General features: G+C 35.5%; 1 protein-coding gene across 13 annotated transcripts in view, besides 1 other annotated feature; it reads right to left on the reverse strand.

Annotated features, from left to right (window-relative positions):
- Positions 1-15,299, reverse strand: part of SNX13 (sorting nexin 13) — a 149,734-nt gene that overhangs the window by 124,761 nt on the left and 9,674 nt on the right. The gene's annotated exons all lie outside the window — the stretch shown is intronic.
- Positions 5,746-6,246: an enhancer, noted in NCBI's record as "H3K4me1 hESC enhancer chr7:17960890-17961390 (GRCh37/hg19 assembly coordinates)". NCBI's record gives its function as "activates a minimal SCP1, AML or CMV promoter by ChIP-STARR-seq in naive H9 embryonic stem cells {active_cell/tissue: H9 hESC(naive)}" and the evidence as "EXISTENCE:reporter gene assay evidence [ECO:0000049][PMID:30033119]".

Here is a 15,299-nt window from a genome sequence, read left to right on the forward strand (position 1 = left end):
CTTTTTAAGATCAGGGCTGCCTCCTCTGACTGTGGTGGAGCAGCCCAACAGGTGAAGGAACTTACTCACCTGACCTTGGAGGTGTGTCTCTGTCTGTCTGTCTGTCTGTCTCTCTCTCTCGTCCTTTCTTTCAGCTAACCTACAACTACCACACCTAAAACAAGAGTTAGACAGTCACACAATAATAGGGACTTCAACATCCAACTGACAACATAAGATAGATCAACAAGGCAGAAAACTAACCAAAAAATCCTTAAGTTAATTTGACACTTGACCAATTGGACCTAAGAGACATCTACAGGACACTTAACCCAATGACTGCAGAGTACACATTCTTCTCATCTGCACACAGAACATACTCTAAGACTGTCCACATTGCTCTGTCACAAAGCAAGTTTCAACAAATTCAAAACAACTGAAATCATACCAAGTATCTTCTCAGACTACAGTGGACTAAAAATAGAAATTAATACCAAGATGACTCTCAAAACCACAAAAAAATACATGGAAACTAAACATCCTGCTCCTGAATGACTTTTGGGTAAACAAGAAAATTATGACAGAAAACAAAATCATTTGTTAAAAAATGAAAACAGGCCAAAACCTCTGGGTTGCGACAAACACAGTGTTAAGAGGACTAGACAGCACTAAACGTCTACACCAAGGAGATAGACGTCCAATTAACAACCTCACCTCGCACCTAAAAAAACTAGAAAAACAAAAACAAACTCCAAAAACGAGCAGAAGAATAAACTCATAAACTAGAAGAAGAAAGCAAATAACTAAAATCACAGCAAAACTCAATGAAATTGAAAGCCAAAAAACATACAAAGGATCAACAAAATCAAAAGTTGGTTATTTGAAAGGATAAATAAGACTGACGGATCATTAGCTAGCTAAGCAAAGAAAAAGAAGATTCACAAATAACCACAATCAGCCATGAGAAAGGTGACATTACAAGCAACCCAAGAGAAACACAAAAGATCCTCAGACTACTATAAACATCTGTATGTACACAAACAAGAAAATCTAGAGGAAATGGAAATATTCCTGGAAACTCACAAACTCCCAAAATTGAACTAGGAAAAAATGGAAACCCTGAACAGATCGATAACAAGTTCCAAAATTGAATCAGTAACAAAAGAAGAACGTATCAACCAAAAAAAAAAACCCTGGACCAGATGGATTCACAGCCAAATTCTACCAGATATACAAAGAAGAGTTAGTAACAATCCTACTGAAACTATTCTCAAAAAAACTAGGAGGAGGGATTCCTCCCTAACTCATTCTACAAAACCAGAATCATCCTGATACCAATTTCTGGCAAAGACACAGCAAAAAAGGAAAACTATAGGCCAATATCCCTTATGAACACAGATGCAAAAATCCTCAACAAAATACTAGCAAACTGAACCCAACAACATATGAAAAAGAAAATTCACCTCCATCAAGTGGGCTTTATTCTTGGCATGCAAGGATGGTTCAACATATGCAAATCAATAAATGTGATTCACCATATAAACAGCATTAAAAACAAAAACCATATATGATCACCTCAATATATTCAGAAAAAGCATTCAGTAAAATCCAACATCTCTTCAAGATAAAACCCTTCACAAACTAGGCATCAAAGGATCATACCTCAAAATAGTAAGAGCCATCTATGACACACCCACAGCCAACATCATCATAAATGGGCAAAAGCTGGAAGCATTCCCCTAAGAACTGGAGCAAAACAAGGATGTCCACTCTTGCCACTCCTATTTAACATAGTACCAGAAGTCTTAGAGCAATCCGGCAAGGAAAAGAAAGAAAACGCATCCAAATAGAAAAAGAAGAAGTCAAATAATTTCCCTTTGCTGACCATATGATTCTATACCTAGAAAACTCTAAAGATTCTGCCAAAAGACTCCTAGACCCGATATACAACTTCAGTAAAGTTTCAGGATACAAAAATCAATATTATTTCTATAGACCAATAACATTCAAGCCAAAAACCAAATCAAGAACACAATCCCATTTGCAACAGCAATAAAAAGAAAAAAATACCTAGGAATACAGCTAATCAAGGAAGTGAACGACCTCTACAAACAGAACTATAAAACACAGCAGAAATATGTCAGAGAAGACACAAACAGGAAAAAAAAAAATCCATGGTCATGGAATAGAAGAATCAATACTGTTAAAACGGCCATAGTGCCCAAAGCAATCTACAGATTCAATGCAATTCCTATCAAAGTGTCAACATCATTTTTCACAGAGTTAGAAGAAACTATTCTAAAATTCATATGAACTACAAAAGAGCCTGAATAGCCAAAGCAATCCCAAGCAAAAGAAAATAGGTATCACATTACCTGACTTAAAACTATACCACATTACCTGACTTAAAACTATACAAGGCTACAACAATCAAAACACCATGGTACTGGTATGAAAACAGACACACAGACCAGAATAGAGAACCCAGAAATAAAGCCACACACCTACAACCAACTGACCTTCGACAACATCGACAAAAATAAACAATGGGGAAAGGACCTCCTAGTCAATAAACAGTGCTGGGAAAACTGGTTAACCTCATACAAAAGAAACTGGACTACCTCTCACCATGTATAAAAACTAACTCAAAATGAATTAAAGACCTAAAACTGTAAAAACCCTAGAACAAAACCTAGGAAATACGCTTCTGAACATTGGCTTAGCCAAAGAATTTATAAGTCCTCAAAAGCAAATGCAACAATACCAAAAATTGACAACTGAGACATAATTAAACTAAAGACCTTCTGCACAGCAAAAGAAACTATCAACAGAGTAAACAGACAACCTACAGAATGGGAGAAAACATTCGCAAACTATAAATCTGACAAAGGAATAATATCCAGAATCCGTAAGAAACTTAAGATGAATCAACAAGAAAAAAAAAAAAATTTAAAAATGGGCAAAGGATATGAACAGCCACTTCTCAAAAGACATACAAGCAGCCAACATATTTTTTAAAATGCTTATGACTAATCATTAGAGAAAAGCAAATGAGGTATCATCTCACATCAGTCAAAATGACTATTATTAAAAAGTCAAAAAATAACAGATGTTTGTGAGGTTATGGAGAAAAAGGAAATGTTAATACACTGTTGGAAGTATATTAGTTCAGCCCCTGTAGAAAGCAGTTTAGATATTTCTTAAAGAACTAAAAATGTAATTACCACTGGACCCCACAATCCCATTACTGGGTATTTACCCAAAAGAAAATGAATCTTTCTACCAAAAGGTAATCTGCACTCATATGTTTATCACAGTACTATTCACAATAGCAAAGGCATGGAATTAACCTAGATGCCCATCAATGGTGGACTGGATAAAGAAAATGTGGTACATATACTACGCAGCCACAAAAGAGAATGAAATCATGTCCTTTGCAGCAACATGGATGCAGGTGGAGGCCATTGTCCTAAGCAAAATTAACACAAAAACAGAAAACTAACTACCATGTTCTCACTTAAAAGTAGGAGCTAAACATTGGGTACACACGGACACAAAGACGGGACCAAAAGACACTGGCCACTGCAAAAGAGGGGAAGAATGGAGGGAGCCAAGGGTTGAAAAACTACTTATTTAGTGCTGTGTTCACTATTTGGCTGATGGAGTCAATAGAAGTCCAAACCTCAGCAATGCACAAAATACCCATGTAACAAACCTGCACATTTATCCCCTGAACTTAAAATAATTTGAAAAACAAAAATAGTTGGTCCATATACACCTAAAAATCAGAAAAGCCATAAATACTAAATAACCTACTTAGTGTTCTCACCACCCTATTATAAGGTGACATACTATAGCAAAGTCAAATAAAAGCCAAAATTTTCCTCAGAAAGCAGCTTCGAATATATTCCAACATAACTAATGTTGTCCTGAGTTACCAGAATTTCATACCATACAGTTCAGTAGAAATAATTTTGGTTAGAAATTCTCAGCCAAATGATGTCACCTACCATAGCCAAAGAAAAATCTTAATAGCATTCCTACAAATAGTCTGAAACTGTATCTATAAAACACAACTTAGAAATGTACCCCTAGATGACAGACAATTGATCTAATGTGCAGAGTTCTATAACAAATACCCGAGTTTTAGAAAAATTGATACTATTCATATCCACCTAAACATCAGATAAGTCAATGAAAGCAACTCAGGAGGAGGAAAGCGAAACAAGCATCATTTAACGTAATTGCTCTTCAGTTTTTATCTTGCACATCTAAAACATCTAAAACATGAATACAAAAGATACATTATAAAAATGTATGTCACTCAGCTACTAAAAGTTTACTTTTGGGCTGGACAGGGTAGCTCACACCTGTAATCCCAGGACTTTGGGAGGCCAAGGCAGTAGGATCATTTGAGGCCAGGAGTTCAAAACCAGCCTAGGCAACAGTGTAAGACCCCCATCTCTAAATAAATTAATTAAATTAATGAATGAGTAAAGAATAAAATTTTAAAAAGAAAAAAAAGTATCCTTTTGATGTGGCCTAAATCCCCATGACTTAAAACAGGCTTCATCTATCTGGTGTCATAGCCTCAAAAAGTTACCTTGCGTTTCACAATTCAAACACAGGTGAAATAAGATCGCTATACGCAAAATAGACTAATGTTTAAAAGTATAAAAGCTTTAATCATGATATCTATTTCGCTTAGTAAAAGCACATGGGTTTTAATTACTAGTTAACATGATATACTATAATTATGTGAAAGTCTTGTTTTCACTTAGCAATTTTCTTATTTCTAAAACAAACTGTTACCAAATTTACCATTTTACTACTTACCTTATTCTGACCAAAAATATATTTGAATATTTTTGAGAAGGTTTGAATGAACTCTTCATTCAAAAGCAATTTCATAGTTCTCTTGCATAACTAGAGTAGCTCTTAAAGCCTACACATACACTGTACTTTTAAAAGCTTTCTTTAATTGTAAAAGAAAAATAAATTTGAAGCACTCTGTGGGCGGTGATGTCTGATGCTCTTATATTTCAAAGTTTAACAGTGAAAAAATACAGAAATCAAGTTACGTGTCAAATTAATAAAATGAGTTGCAGTTAACCCATTTATTCTTACAAAAACTTTGAATCAGTGCAGCAATTATAAATTTCCAGCCCCATATACCGTTTATACTTTAATCTAAGTAAGAGGGTTCTTTGTGAATTTCACTTTGATTCTCTATGCATAAAAATTCTAATGCATAAATAAGAAGAGTTTGCCTAGATAATATATAAGGCCCTTTTTCACTCTAAGTCTATATCATTTCTTGTATGTTGAAAAAGTGAAACCTATAAATAGTTGCTCACAAATCTAGAACTGGACAATTTAAAGTGTTCCTGAAAAGTATGAAGTATAAAAGTAAAGAAATAGTAAAGGCTTTGCCATCATTTGGTGCAGCAGCGTGTACTCAGCCAAGCAGCGCACTGGAGTGAGAAGAACAAATCTGACCAAACCTTAAGACTTCACAGCCTCCCCCGCCAGTGTTAGAAAAGACTCCAACCACTATCAGGAGCCTGTGGGACAACAGCCCCAAACTCTAGGGCTCTCCTTAGATCTTGCACAATCAATCCAAACCCCTTACCAGAGGATACAAGGATAGGACTTCCTATGAAATTCAGTCTATCAAGGTCTGGACTGACTCCTAAGAACTGTTTACCCAATTCCCAATTATTGGGCACTACAGGACTGCTGGATGTGTTCTCTAGACTAATAATGAACCCACTAAGCCTTGTTATCCTTGTTCATCATAGAGAGATAAATACATTCAGTTATCGATTCTCTCCTACACTCTGACCACTGTACTGTTCTTGCTTTTTCCTCCCTTATACAATTTCCCAGTGATTCCATCCCTCCTAAACTTTCCCTCTAGGATCACTCTGTTCCAAAGTCAAAACAAACACTTCCATATCCCCGACAACTTCACTATTTTTGCTTCAAGTAAAAGCTGCTTCTCCTGCAGCTCTCTCAAACAAAGGCTGCTTATTCTTTCATTAATCATGTACCCAACTTCAGAATGTAGGGTCACGATCAAAACCATAACTCCCAGCCCATTTCCTGTAAAAGCCCCTGTTGTTCCTGTATAATTCCTGCCCATTAGCATTACCTGGGGAAGTAGGGGGATTTTAAAATCCCACTACCCAGCTTACGCCACATACAAATTAAATCAAAATAGCTAGGTATGTGAGCCATGCATCAGAATTTCCAATGTTCAGGAAAGCTGATATAAGAGCATTGTTAGTTTGTGAAGTTCCCCAGATGATTGCAATATGCAGTTACTTTTGAGAACCACCGATGTATGCACTACTAATCCATAAACATTCTTCTCTATCAGGAATGCTGAATAACCTTCAGTTATTTTAACATACATGTGGATAATCCATCAAATATGCTACTTTTAATATCATAAGCATTTCACCTCCACCAACATTCACTACAACTTCACTTTAGACACTACAAGACCACACACCCTCATTTACATAACCCACTTCTGTACTCACTTTCCTATCTAGATTGGACTCCATGGTTCACCATTCCAACCATTCTCTAGCAAATATCCTCATTTATCACATTATGTTGGAACTGCCTGCCTACTAATGGAGTAAACAGGTCACACAGGCAGTGAGCACAGGGTTACAAATACTCATTTCCACTTTTGGAGGAGTCCTGTTCTAGTTGCGGCTAGCCAGGGAGAATACTCACAACAGGGCAGTGGAAGAGGACACTGCAGAATTTAAAGCTAGTGGGGTCTTAGTTTCCACTACAAAGCACAGCAGTTGTTAATTATTCAGCACTGCTACATGTAAACCCAAGCCCCCACTGCCCTCATGTATATACCACATACTGTAAGTCTCCTGAGGGCATAAACTGTGTATGTTTTGTTCAGTGTTGTCTCATGCCAAGTATAACAACATCTGCCACACAAAGTAGGCTCCCAGTAAGTATGTGTTAACTAAGTAAAACAAAAATAGAGTAGAACTTCTGATTAATCATCTAAACCAATGTTTTCTAAATCGAGATTTTTTTCTTCAGTGAACATCTTCACAAGTTTATTTTCCTTTCTGATCATTAATTGGCATCATAACATTTATGTTCAGCTTGACCCTGGTTTCTGTATCCAGTCAATTCACTGGGCAACTACTATCTTCAGAGCAGAAAGAAAGGGAGAAGATTTAGAGTACGAAGTGTAGCAATAAACAAAAACTACTGGGAAAAAAAGATAAAGAGAAAATTATCAAGGCAGAAAAACATAATTCACAACACTACCTTTAAGAGTAATTTTTTAAAATGTAATGAAAAATCATATGTGCTTACTCAGAAAAAGGTATGAAAGTAGACATGCAGACTGTTTTTAAAATGAAAACGGTAAACAATATTTTAACTTTACTTAATACACTTTCACACTGGTTTACTTTTCAAGTAGCAGGTAGTATTATAAACAAAAAAATGCATTGCAAATAATATTTTATTTTTAGATAGCACATACCACTTTTCTACAAAGAACACACCACATGGTTAACTCATTTACATTCAGTTAACACTCATTTAAAATATTTAAGTGAAGGCATTACTCCTAACATTTATTTCTACCATGCAAAAGTCATAAGGCTGTCCCAAAACTTGTACTCCACCACGTGAAAAAACATGAAATATCCTGTTTGAGAAAGCAAAACAAGAAAGTTGGTCCAAATTGTGGTAATAATCAGGAAAAATAACTTACTATACACAGGATCTTTAAAACAGACTTGTATATAGAAAGTTTTAAAAAGAAAATGAATATGTATTTATATACTGTCAAGGTTTAACTATTTAAATGGCAAATAAAACTTTTAAAACCCCTCAATGAGAAAAGGTGTAACATTAGGAAGGTGGTAGCAATGAGGGCAAACAGACTGCTGCCAAGTGACTCTGTTAAGAGGCAGCTGGACCAAAAACAGACGATCCTCAAGAATACCATGATTTGAGCTATAATTCTTAGACCTGGAGTGTTGCTAAAAGAACGGGTCAGCCCAGTAGGGATCTCCAAAGCCAAAACCCAGAGAGAATGTGCTGAGAGAAAAAATAACAGAAAGCACCCCAATAATCCAGGAGATCATGAAGCAAGGAGAAGAAAACAGATCACATATGCAGGGAGAACAGAGAAACAAATACTAGTTTCTACTTTTGGGAGTCCTCTTCTTCTCGGAGTTGTGGCTAATCAGGAAGAATACTCACAATAGGGCAGTGGAAGAGGACACTGCAGAATTTAAAGTTACTGGGGTCTTAGTTTCCACTACAAAGTACACTGGTTGTTGTTAATTATTCGACACTGCTACAAAGTAAACCCAAGCCCCCACTGCCCTCAAATCCTCAATAAAATATTCTATAAATATATACACCATCTAGATATGATAGAATTCATCAAAAATACATTTATTCAAAACTCAATTTGGGGAAAACTATAATGGTTTAACTTCAGCTCTTCTTTTATCTATTTATCTTGTATATATGCTATTTGACACCACTAATGAAGCTAACTTTTTAATGCATTACAGAATTTAAATAATTATCTTTTGACACCAAAAGCAACAAGGTAAACATAAATCAGACTACATCAAAATTAGAAAATCCTGTGCTTAAATGACACCATCAAGAAAATGAAAAGCTGTCCCATAAATGGGAGAAAATATTTGCAAATCATGTATCTGATTAATAGACTTCTACTCGAAATATACAAAGAATTATTAAAACTGAGTAAGAAACATGAATAACCCAATTTAAAAATGGGCACAAGACTTGAATAGACATTTCTCCAAAGAAGATATACAAATGAAATATGAAGATATACACATGAAAAGGTGCTCTCTAGAGGCACTAGAGAGATGCAAACAAAAACCACTAAGAGATGCTACTTGCGCTCACCAGGATGACTGTAATCAAGTGTTCTGGAGGATATGGAGAAAACAAAACCTTCCTACACTCCTGGTAGAAATGTAAAATAGTGCAGCCACTTTGAAAAATAGTTTGCAGTTTCTCAAAAGGTTAAAGAATTACTGTATAACCCAGCAATTCCATTCCTAGGTATAGACTCAAAAGAAATGAAAACATATTTCCACAAAAAACACTGTGGAAACACAATACAAATGTTCACAGCAGCATTATTTGTAATGACCAAAAAGCAGAAATAACCCATATGTCCAGCAACTGATGAAAGGATAAGCAAAATGTAGTATATCCATACAATGGAATGTTACTTGGCAATAAAAATAAATTTGAAGTCCCATTACATGATACAACATGGATGAATCTTGAAAACAAGCTAAGTGAAATAAGCCAGTCACAAAGGCCCACATATTGTACAACGCCACTCATATAACATGTTCAAAACAGGCAAAACCGGCCTGGCACAGTGGCTCACCCCTGTAATCCCAGCACTTTAGGAGGCCAAGGCGGGCAGATCACTTGAGTTCAGCAGTTCAAGACCAGCCTGGCCAACATGGTTGAAACCCCATTTCTACTAAAAATACAAAAATTAGCTGGGCATGGTGGCACGTGCCTGGAATTCCTGCTACTCTACTCAGGAGGCTGAGGCAGGAGAATCACTTGAACCTGGGAGGCAGAGGTTTCAGTGAGCCGATATCATGCCACTGCACTACAGCCTGAGTGAAAAAGTGAGACTCCGTCTCAAAAAAAATAGGCAAAACCATAAAGACAGATTAGTGATAGCCTGCTGTGTGAAGGAGAAAGAAGTGTGGAGTAAAAGGAGGAGGGGTCTTCAGTTTGGAGTAATGAGGTACTTCAACTTATTTTGATGACAGATGCCCAACTCTGTGAATATAGCAAAAGCCGTTGAATTGAATGCTTTAGTTAGGTGAATTGCATGGTATATGAATTATATCTCAATAAAGCTACTTTTCAAATTACAACTAAACAACCCAGAGAAGTAAAATACATAAGCAGAATAGGCTAAAGGACAGACATACAGATCAAGGGAACAAAACAGATTCAAGATAAAACAAAATAAAAGCAATTCTAAAAAATAAGTAATTTAAAAAATAAGGTACTATCTCTAGTGCAGTGGTTCTCAGCCAAGGGCAATTTTGCTCCCCATGAGACACTTGGCAATGTATGGAGAAAGTATGGATTATCACACCTTGTTAGGGAAGGCACTATCATAGACCAGGCCAGGGATGTTGCTAAGCATCCTACAATGCACAGGACAATCTCTCACAACAATGAAGAGGACGAAGAAGGGGAAAAAAGAGGAGGAGAAAGAGGAAAAGAAAAGGAGAAAAAGAGGAGAAAGTGGAGGAGGAATAAAGGTATTCTATATTAAAGAAACATAACAATCACATTACTGAATTAGAACCTGGTTCTAACTGGGAAAATTTGCACATACCAAGTATTAGATTATAATTGGGAATTGCCGATAATTTTACTAGGTGTAACAATAATGTTGTGGTTATAGGTATTTTTTAAATTCTTTAGCCTGGGAGATTCAGGAGAGCATTTTAAAAAGTGACATAATATCAGCAATTTACCTTAAAATAGTTGAGCTATAATAACAACAAAAATAACAGAGAAAGTTGGGGCACATCCATAGAGCTAAGGTAACAGAAGATAAATACGAAGAAAGTAGAGAGAAAGCAAATATGACAGTTTTAACAAATCTAGGTAACTGTATAACGGGTGCTAGTGACAGTATTTTTTTTCAGGGTTTCTGTATGTTTGAAAGTGTGCTATATAAAAAATTAATTTAAATTAGGAATATTTTTCCCCTACAAAACACATCACAAATATACTAACAATATGTAGAAAACTGCTTGGAAATTCTGGCTTAAAAAAAGGTAAATTGTTGTACTATCTAGGGCTGGGAAAGGTCATTTTTAGAAAGGCAAAATCTATAGAAAAAGATCAACATATTTGAAAACATAAAATTAATTTTTTCCTAATAACAAAACAAAATCAGAAAGTATACATATACTTGTAAAAATACATGCACCATATGCAACAAAATATTATAATCCATGAGTAAACAGATGTTTATAAATCATTAAGAAACAGACTACTACTCCAGACCAGGCACAGTGGCTCACACCTGTAAATCCATCACTTTGGGAGGCTGAGGTGGATGGATTACTTTGAGCTCGGGAGTTTGAGATCAGCCTAAGCAACATGGTGAAACCCCATTTCTACAAAAATACAAAAATCAGCTGGGCATGGTGGCACGTGCCTGTAGTCCCAGCTACTTGGGGGGCTGAGGCAGGAGGATCACTTGAGCCTAGGAGGTCAAGGCTGCAGTGAGCCGTGTTCGTGCTACTGCACTCTAGCCTGGACGACAAAGTGAGACCCTGTCTCATAAAAGAAAAAGGAATAGACTACTACTCCAAAGAAAAACAGGGTATGAACAGCAATTCAAAACAGGAAATATAAATGGCTAATAAGCATATGAAAAGATTATCTACCTTACCAGCAATCAAAGAAATCCAAAATTTTAAAGCAAGAATGTAATTTTTCACCTATGTAATAAGCAAAGATAAAAACTTATGTCAAATTTTTTGTTTTAATAAGCTAAACAAGATTAAAAAATATAAACTATGCTCTTGACATTTTTGACATATATATACATTACATATATGTTTATATATTATGCGTGTACATATAATATATATGTGTATATATAATATATATGTGTGCATGTGTGTATATATATATATGTATATATATATATTAGAAACAGTGTCTCACTCTGTTGCCCAGGCTAGAGTGCAGTGATGCGATCATAGCTCACTGCAGCCTCCAACACCTGGACTCCAGCAATCCTCCCGCCTCAGCCTCCTGAGTAGCTAGGACTACAGGCACACACCACCATGCCTGGCTAATTTTTTAATTTTTTGCAGAGACAAGGTCTCCCTACACTGCCCAGGCTGGTCTAGAACTCATGGGCTCAAGCAATCCTTTCACCTCAGCCTCCTGAAGTACTGGGATTACAGGCATGAGCCACAGCACTCAGCCAGAAATTAAAATATTCTTGACTGTCCAGGTTTCTCAATAATTTTCCTATTCCATAAATACTCTGTTCTCTTTAGATTGCCTGTCCTTATGACACTAAACCAAAATAAAATTTATTATTTTGACATAATACAACACTACACTTGGCATTTCTAACCTTCTGTCTACCTCCTAAGCACTCTGTTTGGGCCACATGATAGTACTTAAAATCCTCAAGCATCAAGACCATTTCTATCATTACCTCATACTAAAAATAAGCTCAGTTACATGGAAATTCACCTTCAATTCCTTTAACTGAGTTAGAACAAATTTAGTTTATATATCAGAAGATTTCCACTCACAAAGTGTTCCTCTACTAAATAAAGTACACAAAACTTTTATCACAGCAGTTCCCTGGTACAAAAGCAAGATAAAACAGGCCATATTCACAAATGTCCCCCCATCCATCTCTCATTCATACAGGACTACAATACAATAAAAGTCCTAATATTTACAAGTTTTGACTTCTGCTTTTCTCCATAATACAGACTCCAAGGGGAAATCAAAGCAACACAATCCTACCACAGCAGAGAAAGCTAGATCCTCAATGCATGGTATTAACACTTCATTTCTTTCTTATGAAAAGGAGCACCCTCTAAAACAACAATAGGAGCTATCATTTATTAAGTGCTTACTTGGCCAGGCACAGCAGCACGTGGATGTAGCCCCAGCTACTCAGACTGAGGCAGGAAGGTTGCTTGGGCCCAGGAGTTTGATTCCAGCCTGGGCAATATAGCAAGACCCCATCTCTAAAAAAATATATATATTAAGTGCTTACAGTTGGCTAGGATTTGCTAACCACTTTAACTATATCTAGTTCTCACAATTCTATGACATAAGTTATACTAACTATTCTACAGATTTAAGAAATAACAGCTAAGTGATAAAACTGGAGCATGAACTGAGCTTTGGCTTAAAACCCAAGCATGTTCTTGAACCATTACTTTACACTGACTCTCAAGGTTTTTTAAAAGGGAGGATGGGCAAAATTCTGCACATAATATCTAAATAATCAAACACAACTGATTAACTTAGATTCAAAAAATTCAATTATGAGAAAAAAACAGAACAAACTAACCCGCCACTAACATCTTAAAATCCTTGATGCTTTTTAGGAATCTGATGTAGATTTTGTAGGTGTTAAGATAACTTTCAGGGTATGTTCTAAAGTTAGCAACAACTCAATATCAGAACAATGACTCTGACCCTGAAAATACTACAAGATTCTTTTAACTCACAATAAAAAGTAAGATTAATAGTGTTCATTTAAGTCCAAGATGATGTCTTTTCAATCAAGATAAATTCAGATAAGGGGTATATGAGAAAATTATACTGGGCTCTACTGCTCATGAAAAAAGTATATAAACCATTCTATTTGTTACCCTTTTAAATTAACAATAAAAAGCATTTTTCAAACCTATAAAGTATAACAAAAAATAGAAGTTAAATTTTCTATTTTGGCTTTTTTAATCTATTTGAGAAGGGGTAGAAAGATTAAAGGCTAGGGAATATACCCTGAGAGAGAAACTTGCAGGCCTGTAGACACAGAGAAGAATAATGAATACAGAAAGGAGAAAAAACAAATCAACAAATACACAAAGCATCAGTGACAAGAAAGAAAAGATGGAAAGCATAGAGTGTAACTATATAAAGGAATAGAGAGAGATATAGATTCACCCATAAAGGACCTTAATGGCATAATCTCCAACTAAGTAAAATGTTACTGTAACAGGCAGAAGACCCCACTCCTTGAGTATAATAGTTTATTCTATTATTATGTGAAAAGATAAGCAACTGCTGCATATAAAGGGACTGAAATTATGTATATGCTTAATATCTACAATTTAAATTTATATCAGCACAAATTTTATTTGTAATACCTTAGCCCTAAGTCTCTTTACCTACTGCACAATACTATTAACACCACTCAAGTCAACTACATATTTTTAAAAAAAAAGATTTTTAACACTCCTCACCTTTATGCTCTAAGACAATTCAACAGAAGAGCTTATATAAATGAGAGCCACTTTACATAAAACTTTATCAAACTGACAAGAACCATAGTACTTCTCATGTCAGAAAACTACAATAATAGCATTTCAAAAGCATAATATGCAAGTGTACTACAATCTTTCCTTTTCATTTCATCTACAGTAAAAGTTTTAGTGTCCAAAAGAAACATACTGGTTAGCCAAAAATTGTGGTTATGATCAATTCATATTACACAGGTGTCATCCCTTTGTATTTCCTCCCGAAATTCAGTCTAAATCTCACTCTTAGTATTCACTTTGGAAATGCAATACGTAAATTGAGAAGTTAGTAAAAACTGAGATAGCAAGTAAGGAAAGAATTAGATCATCTGGGTCATACAGGATTACTCTTGACATTTTAAAACTACCTCAATCAAAGAACACTAAAACAACTTCAAACATATTAAATTCTAAGTTTTGAAAATAAACCACTTGCTATTTACATCAGAGGAAATAAGAATAAAGAATAAGAAAAAGAATAAAGAATAAGAATAAGAATAAAGAATAAAGAATAAGAATAAAGAAATAAGAATAAAGATTTATTGTTACTGTAGGAAACACTGCACAGTACATGTGTTACTTCACTTAATACTTGCAACAACCCTATGAGGTCAGTACCATTCATTTATAAGTCACACATATAAGAAAACTGAGGCTCTGAAACGTTAGCAACCTTTCCAAGGTCAAAATGCTCGGAATCGAGAAAACTTAGATTCAAATCCAAATAATCTGACACCAGCCATCACTCTTAACCAAAAGTATACATTTTTATTCAGAAATTAGGAATATTTGGTTTGGGACTAGAGGAGATATATATACATATATAAAAAAGATGATTAACACTGAATCCTAGTATAAAGATAATCTTTCATCATCACATAAATTTTGTGTTAGTGCCTATTATATGATTGAATATTCTGAGCTGCTGTTATTAATTTCTGGAATTTCAGATTCATAAAATACATTTTTAATGCATCATAAAATACTCTCAAGTCTACTTGGTTTTTCTAAACCTTTATGCAACCAATACTCACTATTTGGAAAGTATATTATTTCAGTTTCTTTTCCTGTAACTTTGTGGTGTTCTGCCCTTCAACCCCTGGGCCACAGAGCATTACAGGTCCATGGCCCATTAGGAATCAGGCCGCACAGAAGGAGGTGAGCAGCAGGGGTTAGTGGCGGGGAGTGGGCTTTTCCACCTGAGCTCAGCCT

Source organism: Homo sapiens, chromosome 7 (genome assembly GCF_000001405.40).
Source record: "Homo sapiens chromosome 7, GRCh38.p14 Primary Assembly".
NCBI classification, from domain to species: domain Eukaryota; kingdom Metazoa; phylum Chordata; class Mammalia; order Primates; family Hominidae; genus Homo; species Homo sapiens.